The sequence below is a fragment of the Homo sapiens genome, chromosome 1 (genome assembly GCF_000001405.40).
Source record: "Homo sapiens chromosome 1, GRCh38.p14 Primary Assembly".
In the NCBI taxonomy this organism is placed as follows: domain Eukaryota; kingdom Metazoa; phylum Chordata; class Mammalia; order Primates; family Hominidae; genus Homo; species Homo sapiens.
This window is the reverse complement of record NC_000001.11, coordinates 105,424,155-105,438,940: the sequence shown is the minus strand read 5'-3', so window position 1 is coordinate 105,438,940 and position 14,786 is coordinate 105,424,155. Positions and strand designations below refer to the sequence as shown.

Genomic DNA, 14,786 nt, shown 5'->3' with positions numbered 1-14,786 from the left:
TATACAGAATACAGAGGAATTGCTATCACATTAGGAATCAGAGACTCACATTAAAATCTCTAAATCTTCAGTGATGTTAAATAAATATAAAAAATAATAAAAAAAACACCAAACTGTCATCTCCTATTAATATAATTTTAGAGATAGTAAGAAACTATTACTCATTTTCTTTTTTTTTCTTTTTTTTTTTTTTTGAGATGGAGTCTCACTCTGTAGCCAAGGCTGGAGTGCAGTGGTGCAATCTTGGCTCACTGCAACCTCCGCCTCCTGGATTCAAGCAACTCTCATGCCTCAGCCTCCTGAGAAGCTGGAACTACAGGCACATGCCACCACACCCAGCTAGTTTTTTTTATTTTTCATAGAGATGGTGTTTCACCATGTTGGCCAGGCTGATCTCGAACTCCTGACCTCATGTGATCCACCTGCCTCTGCCTCCCAAAATGCTGGGATTACAGGCATGAGCCATCACCCCAGGTCACTCATTTTCTCTTATTCTTCATCTTTCCTGCCTATTGATAATGGGGAAACACATTACTACTTAAAACATTTGTACCATCTTGGCTCTCTGAATTTTCTTCTGTATCTTTGTTTCTTTTTAATCTCAGTCTCCTTTCTGTTTTCTCAGGTTCCATCTATTTGATAATTCCTAGGATTCCTTGTGTTTTCTTCACAAACAAAGCCTCTCTATATACTCAGTCTTGTGAAACAGTGATTGTCACAGGATCCTTGGTGTGTCACTTTTCCAGCCAGAAACCTCTGTGGCACCTTTTCCTGAGTTTTACTTGGGCCCACTGGGCTCATTTCGCCAACTTGACCTGGCAGGCTGTGCTCTGCACATGCTGCCAGTCTGGATCCAATGCCTGCCAAGGGTAAGCCAGGTGAGCAGCAGTGAGGGGTGTATGAGCAAGTGAGCAAGTGGGGGGTCTGGCCACTGCACACAGTCAGGAACACTGGATGTGGCAGAGCAGGCAGCTCAAGGCACTGGCATGGGCAACTCCAGGTGCCAGTATGGGTGCCAGCTCCCTGTGAGGCTTCAGCTGGACTAGGTGTATTGCTAGTGGTTTCCACAGCTGGCACTAGGGAATGTGGTGGCACCTGGAAACTTGGAGGTACCAGGAACTGCAGAGCCCCAGAGAGGGTGTTACAGCCCTGGCTCAGAGAGTTTCCAGGTCGGGGCTCCCTGAAGGGCCATAGCTCTTCTATCTTTCTCTCTTCTCTCCTTCTTGTTGCCACAATATGGCGAGCAAGGGGCTTGTTTCAGCCCTGTTTGTGTTACAGCTCTTTCAGCCCTGTCATTCAGCAGGCTCCAAGCTCTTGTCCCATGTCCAGGAATAATTAGGTGCTTTATTGAGTGACAGAACAGGGCAGAGGAGACCCACAAGGTGAAGAGGTGCTTTATTCAACAACAGAACCGGGCAGAGGAGAACTGCAGTGAGTAGCTCCTTTCTGCATGCAGGTCATTCTGACAAGTGTCCAGCTCTCAGCAGAGAGGAGACCAGTGACCAAGGAGTGGGTAGCTCCTATCCACAGGCAGGTCATCCCATTTTCTGCCCAAGTCTGGCTGAGTCTGGGCTTTTATGGGCTTCACAGGGGAGGAAGTGCATGCTGATTGGATCATGGACACCCAGAAAAAGCACGATATTTTCTCACTCTGGTCCATGGAGCTGGCAGCCCAGCCCCAAGGCCTCAGGCTGTTCCTGGCCTGAAGGTGGAGTTTCACTGGAGACCTGACCCTTTCTACCCAGGAGCCTGTCTGCCTTCTGACATCATTATCCTGCCATCCACAGTGCCCACTGCACCCAGGCTGTTTCTGCTGAGAGGTGCCTGCAGGCCTGCACAGAGCTGCCCTTAGCGCCCCCTTGGCCTCCCTCCCATGCTTGCCGGTGCCCAAAGTCCAGAGGAGACTGAGGCAGCAGGGGACTGGTGTGTCAGTGCTGCCCCAAGCATGTGCACACCTGGCCAGGTCATGACAGCACTCTGGGTCAGTAACAACTTTGCTCTAAAATTGGAGCTGGCCCTGGGAACAGGGAGAGGCCAGGCAGTGGAAGGAGGCACTTCCAAGCCTGTGGGGGTTAGAGGCGTTCCCAGGCCCTCAAGAGTGCAGAGATGCCAGGGTCTGCAGCTGCGGCTTGGTGGCTGCACTGTGCCCGAGAGGATGTGGCTTCTGGCTTTACAACTTGAAAGACGGCAGGGCTTCTACCTGTTCTTGGCTCCTGCCTTCTCTGTGGAGTGCACAGCCCAAGCCATGCCTCTCCCACTGCAGCCCGCCTCATGGCACTCCAGATAGGCTGCTATTGCCATCATGATAACATCAAAGTTTATATATAAAACCCAGATCATATGTCTGCTGTATTATCTAAACATTAAAAATCATAAATAACTGATTAAAGGGGTATGCCACAAGTACCTGAAAATCAACAGGTTTAAACTCGTCATTTTGGTGTCTTCAAAAATTATCCTCCTTCATTCTCCATTCTGATTCACTTGTTGAGAATCGTCTATAACTTTCTATTTATCCATAATATTTAAACATTCCTAGATGCTACAATTCTAATTTCTTAAAATATTCTTATCAACATACTTCTTTTTTTTCCCACTGCTTAAGTTAGGCCCTATTACTTTTTGCAGGATTTTTGTTAAGTAACTATACTAAACTCACAATTTCAGCTTTGTAACAATTAGCCCAATTGGTATTCTCCAGGTATAATTATCTTTCTGCAAATAAACACCAAATATATTCTCTTTAATACTTACATGAAAACTTTTCATTTGATATGAGATTAATGTTGTAAGTTATAGTGATAATAAATGAATTATTATCATGCCCTATGATATCTAAAGCAATTTACAATAAGTCATCTCACAGTTATTTTGTAATAAAAACATTATTTTAATTTAAAACTTTGAAAATACAATCTCAAATTCTAGAAATAACATTACCTAGGTTATTGCTGCAGCTTTGCCACCATTTAGGCATGAGACTGTGTGAAAGTCAATTAATCTTATAAATGTTAATGACTCCTTCTGAAAAACAATCATTTTAGATGACCTTACATATGTCTTTCAGCTCTAAGCTTTTGTGGTTCTGCTTATGAAGAGATGGGAGTCTAATCACTTGCATTAGAAAAGAAACATCTATTAAATATCCCAGAAAAGTCACACTTAAACTCAATAATCAAATTACATTTATTTAAATGTTCAAGTATTTTTAATTGATTTAATGTGAATGTAGACTAAGAAAGAAATTCACCTTTTTTTCTCATAATTGAACCACTGCAGCTTTTTTATTGGTACTGCTTGGGTAGATGAATCTCATCTTTTCTCTACATCTATCCAGTAGAGCCCTGCTTCAGCATTAGCAAACTAAATAAATTCAGTACTTTACTGTCTTTACTACCTAATATTTTAAATTCAACATGTCTCCAATGGAATTAAACTGGATCACATATAAAATCAATCCTATTTGAACAATTTTACACTGTCATGCTTGAGAGTACAAGAAATAACCGGAAAATGAATGTTATAATTCATTTTTCCCCTAGAAGATAATTTTAACACAATCACTTATGAATATCATTAAAAAAACTTTCATTTAATCCTCAAGTTCTGTGGGTTGACTTCTGCTTTCTATGTGCATATGCAAAGTGCAATACCATAATCATAGGAACTATAAACTGAAAATTTGCAAATTCAAACACCAGGGATTCACAAATTATACCAGAATCAAAATGCAGTTTTTGCAAGGACTACTAGCACTTTAAACCTATTAGCAGGAGAAATAAAAATGGTTAAATTGATTTTTTCTTTGTTTTGTTTGATTTTTCCCTTATAAGAAAAGACCCTAATATCAAGGTACAGAAGGGGACAAGAGGGGACATATCCTCTAGTCTAAGGTAACAGGGTGGCAGGAGAAGGAGAAGCCTCAAATGGAAGGGTAGAAGGATAACACTATTAAGGCAGCAAAATATTCTCTGTAAAAAGTTTCAGGAGGTGTCTCCAGAGCCTCAGATATGATGGCAGTGATTGCCTTTTCAGTGGGGTTCTCACCACTCAGGTGTGCAGAATAAGGGAAATGGCAGCTTCTATTCCTTCTGTGGCAGCCACTCCATTGCGCACTCTGAGTCTTATCTAAATAAAAGTGCTGCAGAGCTGGGAAGGCATAGATTTGCTTATGTAGGACAAAATAACATTTCCAGCAGTAGTTGTGCTCCCTCTCAGGCACCACCGACTGCACTGGGTGAGGCCCTCTGTGGAGAAATGTTACATGGGGTAGAGACACATCTTAGGGCCAGTCATCCTATAGAGGCAGCCCAATCAGGTTAAAGATTTTGCCCAACTAGTTGGCTTTAGAGCTTCCACAGAAGAGAGGCTTTTGAGGAAACATCTCTGCAAAGACACACTTCACATGTCCACAGATGTTGCCTGTGTAGATTGCAGAAGAACCTCGTGAGCACAGTACAAGAGTGTAACAACCACAGGTGTCAACGCCATCTGGTAGCTATAGATGCTGGCCAGACCAATTCAGCCAGCTTGACTGTCCCACCACTTGTCACTAGAATGTTCTCTGGCCTCAGATATCAGTGAACAATGCAATGGGCATGAAGAAAATCTAGGCCTCTTCGAAACTTGTGCATCAGATCCTTGATGGCCTCAGCTGATGATATGATTTGGCTCTGTGTCCCCACCCAAATCTCATGTCAAATTTTAATCCCCATGTGTTGAAGGAGGGACCTGGTGGGAGGTGATTGTATTATGGGAGTGATTTCTAATGGGAACTCTAATGAGAGCAGAGGTGATCGTATTATGGGAGTGGAACTCTTTTGAGAGTTTCCATTAGGAACTTGAGGGCCACAAAGTGACCACTGTGGGGATCACAGTCCTTGTACACCGACCCATGGGCACTCACACCAATTTCAGCCACTGGCTCATATTGAGAGATGGCCATTCTCAGTTCAGGGTAGATCCTGTCACCAGGCTGGGAGCTGTGAGGGCAGCCAGCATAAGGGCCCTGGAGCCAGTTCTTGCAGCACCATATGCCCAAGCTTAAATTATTTTTAATGGAAAAAGACAAAATGTAAGTGGAGATAGAGTAAGAGAAAGAGAAAAATTAATTAGAATAGAAGAAAAAGGAAAGAAAAATTCCTGGTTTGAAATAAAATATGAAAGCCCCATATGCCCTGCAAATAAAATAGCTTAACAGCAATCTGGAAGATTAAATTCATTATAATGAGAATCAAAATGGCATTGGGTGGTGGAAATACTTCTTCATAGTGGTTCAATGAACCACAATAACTCTAGATGAGAAAGATGACCTGAAGTGCCAAGATGTAAAGAAAAAAAGAAAAGTAAACCCAACAGAAAATCAGTTAAGGGCAGTTCATAGCTAAGAATGCTTGTTGTAAACTGGCATGCATAGAACTGAGTTAGCCTCGGTTGACTATTTCTTAACCTGTTTGCTAAGTGATTATCGCTAGTTCTATGGTCTTGGTGTATCTGTATTAATGCATCTGTGCCTAATGAATAATGAAGCTTTTATGTGATGTTCTACTACATATATACCAGAGATTGACACACAATTATTTCATTCAACTTGTTTTATATGATTGAAGAATTATATTAGTTTAAGCATTATAGCTTGGTTTCTTAATTGAGATTATGCCCTATGGTCATATATTTAGAAATAGAGAGGCTATTTTCATTTCTAATTCCTGTCTGTGTTAATTTATCTATACAGTCCATAGATTTAAGTAAATAGTGGCAAATCTCATAAAAAAGTAGAGTGATATTAACTAAGGCATGCTACTCCTAAACCTTTCCTAATGATATCTATTTCTAGAATCATGAAGAAAATTTCAATGAAAAAGTCAACAGAAGTAACTTCTCTGTGGTTGATTTAAAAAGTCACTCACAAAGTCCTCATATTCAAAATTTCACTCGATTAGTCTTCAGTAAAATTTTCCAAAAGTGAATTTTCTATTATTTATTGTGTAAAATGAAGAATGACTATGGATTTTTACATTATGAGAAATAGTGGAAACCTATTACATTTTATTCAGACTTTTTTCCTTTGTATGCCCAACTAAAAACAATCCCCAAATGTATCTTATTAAAAATATACTGTTTATTATATAGATGTTCAGGATATATATTTCCTAGCATTGAATTTTATTCTGCAATAGATCACTGCTGAACAAAAGTGTTAGCCCCATTTTCCTAATTTTTTTGCTGAAGGAATGTGGATATGTTTGGTCAACACCAGGCTCATAATAGTGATCACATCATGATTGACCTATGCCAATTAAGATTCTGATGTTTTTTTCTTTTTGTTACTTGCTGCTAAAAGTAACTATAAAATCTGCAATCATTTTTAACCAATGACATGTAAAAGGAAGTCTTCTAGAAAGACGAGGGTTATCTTGGAAAACTTTTGCTGTACCAGTCAAATAAATTGATATAGTGGCAAAACTAAATACATTTCACTCCCAACTTAAATTTTACGAGGCTCGAAATTTTAACAAACATTTTACAAACACGAGTAATACAAACTGAAGTCATTTGCAGAGATATCGTTGATTTACTAAAACACTGTAAGCAGTCACCTACATATAGACTTCTTGATATTAAAAAATAAGCTTTAATTAAGCATTGTCAATTAAGTTTATTGTTTTAGTTGTCCAAAGAACTGCTTTCTAATTTAATCACCAAAACTTGGCAGAAGTATTAATACTACAACACTGGCATTCAAATTTTTATATATAAAAATATGTCACATATCTAATACATACAAACCAAATACCTGGCTCCAAATTGTGATTTAGGCTGTAGCTTCTGTGAATCTCTCAGGGAGATCTCTACTGTTCTCAGGCTCTATTAATCTCGTATGCTCAATAAATTTACCATCTAAACAATTAATTTTCTATTTTTTTTAGTTAGCTGACATGCAACTAAACTAAAGAATTCATTTTTCAGATGTGTTTTCTGTACTAAGAAATGTCGTATTTATTTTTATAGGTAAATGAAGAGAGAATGCCAAATGAATTGATAAGCCAGACGTGCTCAATTCCACATATCCCGACTCCTTTTACAATTGTTTATTTTATGTAGTTTGAAGATGCCACCTGCTCTGAGGAAAGTGGTAGATAATGAACACTAGAATTACCAGTGAATCAAATTGGCCAACCATCCTGCATTGTCTATGATGCTTGGAGAATATCCCCAGTTTACAATAAATACACTGAATTAAACTGCTACTTTAAACATCAAAACAAATTTATGAACAAGCAGTTTGGGTTCACAGAAGCTTAGGCTATAAAGTTGGGAAAAAGCTGTATGAATCAGTGTTCATAAGTGGCATTTGATGTGTACGTGTTGTGTGCTCCTGTGTACAAATATGTGTACATGCTCCTAGTTGTGTGTTATCCAGTTAGTAAATATTTTGCTTATTGTCCATTTGTTACTATTATTTCTGACATGACTATATTCTAGCTTAATTGAAAAAATTCAATATCTGGTTTAAATACTATGTTTCACTTGATTCAATTTTCTTTTAAAGATTGCCATTATTTGAATTAAACTGTCAATTGAATAGTCAGTTATACCAATTTTAATCTGAATATCTTTAATTTTTCAACTCCACAAGAGAATGCTTTTTGTAGGTAAATATGTAAAATATATGTATTTAATATTTGACAATTTCACATGATTTTATACACGTTATATTGTTGAGAAGAAATAATGTAAAAATGTTAATAGATCACATCAATATTCTGAATCTCATGACATTTTAATCTGAATTAAAATAATAAATATAAATTAAACACTAGATCAGATGAGATTGGGTGAGTTCAGGGTGATATGGCAGTAGATTGGAAGAATTTAGCATTTTAAATATTTAATTTTGACAAGTACTCTCAAACACAAAAAGGCTTTGGATAACCAGAGACAAATTTAGTTAAAATACTTCAAATTTTATTAAGTATATGTATTAATACTATAACATTTTATTCAATAAGCTTATATTTCTCATGGGAAATGAAAAACACATTTATGTTACCTGAATAAACCTTGATTTCCAGTGGGCAGATTATCAAAAATAAGTTTTAGGAAACCTTTTGTCATTGCACTTAGTCAAGACCTAGTGGCTTCTGTTTGCTCCACTAACTTTAGAGTAATTATAAAATAATAAGCTTGTATTGGTAATCTATATCTATCAAGAAGCTTGTTGATTTTAACTGAACAATAATGACAAAAAAACAATATTTATTTCACTGGACTAAGCATTTATAATTAAATCACAGGACTGAAAAAAAGATTAAACACTAATTAGGTGTAAATTATGGATCATAGAATCTCCATTTTACTGAGTTAACATCAAATTCTAGCAGTATTTAGAAAGAATATTTGATAAAGATATTTATTAATGAGTGGTCATATGCAGTGCACATCTTTTGCTGATTGCTTTACTTCAGGAAGACTTAGAGCCTCATTAGTATTTGAATACGAATTCTGAAATTCTTTTCAAAGAACATATAAAAACGTATTTCCATGCTCTTATCCCATGTAGAAAAATATCTTGCAAATGTTAAGATCCTGTGATAGTTGTTGTGGTTTCCTAAGGACAAACCTAGAATATATTTTATTCTTAAATCCTCTTATTAACATATATAATCATTGGGTCTATCCTCTATATTTTCTAAACGTCAGTGCAACAGAGGAACTACTCATCTTCATCACTGTGTTCTTAACTTTACCAAGTTCTCAACATTATGCTCATAAAATTAAGCAAGAGCCCCACAAATGGTTTTGCTTCCAGGATTTTCCTCTTCTAAAATGTCACTCTTACGAATCCCTTATTGCTGCTTCTAAATTACAAATATAATAATGTTAGACTCATGTTTAGATTATGTCAGCAGAACCTTATCCTAAATAAAATTCTTGTATGCTAGGTCTTCAGTGATTTGGACCCTGCTTCTACCTCCATCCTTATCACCTAGTGTGATATGTGATGCTTTTCAGTTGGAGAACTCATTCATGTTTCTTGGATTTATGACATTGTTCAGGAAAAGGCGTTCTGAGAAGTGACATAAGCATGAGTTAATTCATAGGAAATATATATAAGCTGGTGGACATTCATCAATTTTACCAAGATACACGTTAATAACTTGCACTTTCTTACACTTCAAAACATGCCATTCCCATGCCTTGCATTGCTCTTTATCTACCTCTTTAACTATCAGGCTTTTTGGTTTTTTGTAGTTCATGAGCCAGTTTTTCAAAAAACGAGTTTGTAATGTTCCCAGTGTGGTTTGGCTGTCCCTAGATCATTAAACTATATTAACTTTATACTGTTATCTGTGTGTGTGTGATCCTTCAAATGTTTTAATCCACATATTTCTTTTCTACATTATATAGCTAGGGCCAAAATGAATTATTCTATTAATTATTATTGATGGTATTTAATCTATGCCCCAATGTATCTCAAGTATCAAAGTTAATCAGTGTGTATTTTTCATTTTTTAAACATTGACAAATCTTGAATTTGAATTCCAGTATATTGTCACAAGTATTTGTGTAAGTTTATTTATGCCATCTTTTTAGTATTCTTTACAGATTTTTAACTCTGTTTCAATGTTCCTTTTCCATTATCTAATGTAGACAGCTTGCTTTTTCCCTTTTTTTTCTAATTATTGCTAGGGTGGTCCACTAATTTCTTCACAAAGCTGAATCTGTTGGGTTTTTTTTTTTGTATTTTAGGATGTTTTTCTCATTCTATTGACTTTGCTCTCATATTTAATATTTTTTTCTATTTTACATTTCTTGTTTGTTTCTTACAGTTATTTTTAAACTTAATAAGATTGAAATTAAATAACATATTTTTACCTTTTTTAGTATATGAATTCAAGACTGCACTGATTTGGCCACATTAACCAAATTTTGCTGTGCTGTTCAGTCATTAGTTTTCAGTTTCAAACACCTCTATAATTTTGGTTTCTTCCTTCATCAGTGAATTATATGGAAGTACTCTAGTTGATTTAGGAATAAGGCTTTTTAAGTTACTTTTTCCTGTATTATTTCCATTGTGGTCAAAGAACATATTCCAAATGAATTAAGAATTTTGAAATTTTCTGAGGCTCTCGTTTATTCAACACATTTCCGTACTTACATTACACTTTAACATGTAAGTTTTCATCGTTTGGTGCAATGTACTGTTTATGCCAATTAGATTATGTTTATTAACTTTGTTGTCCATGTTATCAATCTCAGTAGACATTTTTCCTGTACCTTTTATATTAAAATCTTTTATTAAAACCCCCAAAATGATAGTAACTTTTTATATTTCTTCTCTTTGTGATGTTAATTTTTGTTTATATATTTTGAAGCCATGCTAGGTACAATTAGGATTGTAATATCTACATATCAAATTGACCCACTTTTAACTATAAAATACTCCTATTTACCTCTGGAAATGCTTCTTGCTTTAAAGTACAATTTGTCTGATATTAAAACACTCCTTAGGTAGAATTTTTGATAATATTTTAAAATCATGTTTTTTAAAATCATTTTAGAGTAAATTCTTCTGTGTTGTATATTTAAAGTGTCTCATAAGAAATATTTGAGGGTTTTTAAAAGTAGTTTTGACAATCTTAGATTTTTAATTGTATTATTCAGTGTATTGATATTTAAATTAGTTACTGGCATATTTGTGTTTGTATTTATTCTTTCAATATTTATTTTATGACTGTCCAATATATTTTTACATATCTGCCTTCATTTTTACTTACTTTTCAATTAAGAAAAAAATTTGGTATTCTAATTTTTATTCCATTAACATATTAGTTGTAAAATATTTTACAATTTTTAATGGTTACACGGCAGATTAGAAAAAAAGCACATCTGTCACTTAACAACAGGATAATTAAAAATAGTATTATTTGTGACATAGCAGACTGACAGGACTCATTTTCTGGTCACAACCCTGCTGACCAAAACAAGGTCTCGATCTGGTCCAGACAGGATGAATTATCACTCTTTTCTTAGAATGTTCTAAACAACCCATCCCTCAATTTTCACTGACCCAGCCCTGATTTTGCATGTAATTGAAAGTAGGTATAAGGGAGTATAAATACAACTGGCAAGAGCCTATGCATTGTCAGTTTTGGGCATATTGCCTATGAGTTAGGGCTGCTCCAAAAGAGGAAGTACTGTCCAATAAAAGACTGCTCTCTAAAACCACTGACTCACCCTTGAATTCTTTCCCGGGTAAAGCCAAGAACCCTTCTGGGCTAAGCCTCAATTTGGTAGTTCAATTGTCCTGCATCATTTATACCGGATGGTTGGAGACTTTTAATTTTAAGAACTCTGTGCCTGTCTTTCCTGCCATTTATATTTTACTGCAATGCTTTTAATTACATATATGCTTTAAAATGCACAAATTTGTGTGCATGTATTTATAAATGCACACATACTGTTTTCAGCGCTTGTTATTCCCTTATACATCTTCATATTTTTGTTTAGAATATTTTTTCAGCCTAAAAAACTTACTTTTATTTTTTAATGTCACTCTACGAGACACACTTTTTTTTTTTCAATTTCTATATCCCTAAATTCATTTCTATGTTTATTTCTGCAGAGTATTTTCACTGGGTACAGAATTCTACACTGGTATGTTTTGTTATTAATTTCAACACATTAAACATGCCAGAAAAATATCAAATTGATAATATTTATTTGGTTTAGAGAGCTGCTGTTGTATAGTTAATCTTTAAAGATAATTATTAATTTTTCTTTCTGTATGATTTTAAGATATTTTTATTTTATTTTTTACAATTTAATTTCTATCTGTTTTAGTGTAGATTTCTTAATGTTTATCTTAGTTTTCTGAGCTTTTTGTAAACAAAAGATACCTTTTATCAGTTTTGGAGTGGTCTTGGTCATCATATTATCATATGGATATGTATCATATGTTTGAATATTTCTTATTCTTTATATTGTGACTTTTAGATTTTGATGTGTTTATGCGTGGTGGTGTGTATGTATACCCAAACCTGAATAAAGTGAGGCAATAAGCCACACAGATATCTTAGGACAACATGTCCATCACAAGAAATAGCAAGCATAAAGCTCTGAATAGGAGCATGTGTTACATACGGAAATTCTGTCCTTAAAACTTCTAGAATGTTTCCTCTGTTCTCCATTTTAATTAATGCAGAATCTACTCAGTCTGGATTTGTATTTTTCATCTTAGATCAAGATATGCTAGGCGAGGATCGGTGGCTAAAGCCTGTAATCCCAGCACTTTGGGAGTCCGATGGCCGCAGATCACGAGGTCAGGAGATCGAGACCAGCCTGGCCAATATGGTGAAACCCCGTCTCTACTAAAATACAAAAAATTAGCCAGGCGCGGTGGTGCACGACTGTAGTCCCAGCTACTTGGGAGGCTGAGGCAGTGGAATCGCTTGAACCCAGAAGGCGGACGTTGCAGTGAGCCGAGATCACACCACTGCACTCCACCCTGGCAACAGAGCAAGACTCTGTCTGAAAAAAAAAAAAAAAAAAAAAGATATGCTATACTTTTTTATTTTTAATTTGTATCATATTCTTATAATTCCTTATTCTCTGACATTAGTATAATTCTTATTATTAATACTTAATGAAAGTTAAGTAAAATAATATAACTAATGTTTATTCAATAGTTATTACATGTTTCCAGAAAGAAAAGTGGTTATTTTGCATATGAAGTTTAATTTTTTAAAAAACAAGTCATTTTGTGAAAGAAAATAAAGTTAGGCTCATATTTTACCTAAAGAAGAGCCTCAGAAAAGATTAGAAATCGTCCCAATTTTGTACAAATAGAAAATGGAGAAAATATAATTTATATGTGTTCCGGATTGTGCTAACGTTGGCCGATTTAAATATGAATAAGGGTTTTGCCCTGATCTTGAGAGATTCATGATCCATTAAGACAGACACATAAACAGACAAGTAAAATATGGTGTAATATATGCAGGACACAAATTGAGCATAGAGATGACAGTAGTTTGATAGACAAGCCTCTTAGGCTTTTCATGTAGCTCTTCTGGTTAAGAGAAAGGCAATGAAGTTTTGGTCCAAATCAGAGAACAAGAATAGACAGGAGATGTAGCCAAAACACAAAACAATCATGAAAGGACTGCAGAATATCAAGAGAATGAAGATATTCTTACCACTCTGGAGCAGAGAATTGTAGGATGACAATGATGAGCTATCCAGAGACTGTGAGCAAAGCAGTGATATTCTTTGGATTTTTGTTTTGGAAAGACAAGTCCATTGTTTTTCTAGAGAATAGATTAGAAAAGGAACACGGTGATCTAAAAATAGCTATTGAAGTATATTTTACACCAATATAGGTGAGAAGCAGGTCACAGCAAGGTATGCCTCTTATGTATGAACATTTATTAAGTGTATTAATTTTTATGTGTATAGTTTTTGTCTTATTTTTATTTTTAATGAATGTTCCCTCATTGGGAACATTTTCTATGTTTTTTTTTTTACATTAAAATGACATAAAATATTCGTGTTAGCTTATGGCTGAGTTTTTAATTAAAATGTAATTTATGACGTTGATTATTTTTATGAAGATTAATTTCTTTGGTTGGCAATGTTTTGCCTGAAGAATTTTTTTTCCACTAAGCAATGAGTATAGTCATAGAAATATAATGAAGAATTAATGAACGTATGCCATGTATTAGACTTATCAACAACATTGAGGAATAAATAAATTTTTAAGATGGCTTTTTCCTATGTTATCAGCTAGTTTCTAGCAGATTCAATTAGCGCGCAAAAGATGAGTCATGCTATGATTCTATTTAATTTACAAATATAATATTAAATACATCCCTATGCTAATCAAATAAATTTATCATATTAATATATTTAATGAGGGAAATTTTTGAAATGTCCTTTTGATCAAATCATGCAATTATTTAATTTAAACTTTAGCTTGAACTACTAATTGGAATAGAGCATCACAATGTTTGTTTGACTGAAAGTATAATTTTCAGCATATTTATTCACAAAAGAACAAATGTTAGCCCTAATTGGATAGATATTTTAGACTCTGCAAAGCATATAATTGTTTAAGATAAATTTTACTATACTAACATTACTTGATTTCATGGCATAACTGTGATTACTATAAATAATTGTAACATATTTGAAAATTATTATCCTATAGGCTTGTCTCTATTTAATTTCAACCCTTTCTGTTGAGATGATCTTAAGATAATAGAGATAACTTTTGAAGAATAGCAATAATGAATTTGATCTATATAACAAAATTTCCCCTCATCAAGATTAGTATAGTTAAAAAAGCAGAATCAGGTTTTTATGGAAATGTTTTACTAATTAGCTATTTGTTCCTGAATCACATCTCATTTTAGCATTTTATGTGATCTGTGTGCAATGAAAAAATATATTAAAATGTTCTATAATTAATTATTTTAATTAAATTTTTTTACTGTATTTAATGACCAACCACAGAATAAATCCCTATCTTTTTAGGTTAAAAATTAAGAAACATATACTTGTATAATTATTTATTATAAAATATGAATTGAATATTTGTTACATGTTATATAGTATGTAAGCATTGGAGTGTAACAATAGAAAAGATCCAATCTCTGCTTTTTTTGAGTTCACATTCAGAGGAATAATTAAGAGACTATTTCAGTATAGTTAAAGCTATTTAAGATGTAAATATTAGAGTAAAATCCTCTGTAACAGACCTGCATGTTCTGCACATGTATCTC

The 14,786-nt window shown here is 34.7% G+C and overlaps 1 pseudogene, besides 1 other annotated feature; it reads right to left on the bottom strand.

The window, feature by feature from the left end:
* Nucleotides 245–407: a silencer, noted in NCBI's record as "fragment chr1:105981156-105981318 (GRCh37/hg19 assembly coordinates)". NCBI's record gives its function as "represses an EF-1alpha promoter that drives an FKBP-Casp9 reporter gene in an ReSE screen in K562 erythroleukemia cells {active_cell/tissue: K562}" and the evidence as "EXISTENCE:reporter gene assay evidence [ECO:0000049][PMID:32094911]".
* CDK4P1 (cyclin dependent kinase 4 pseudogene 1) lies at nt 4,120–4,947 on the bottom strand (annotated as a pseudogene).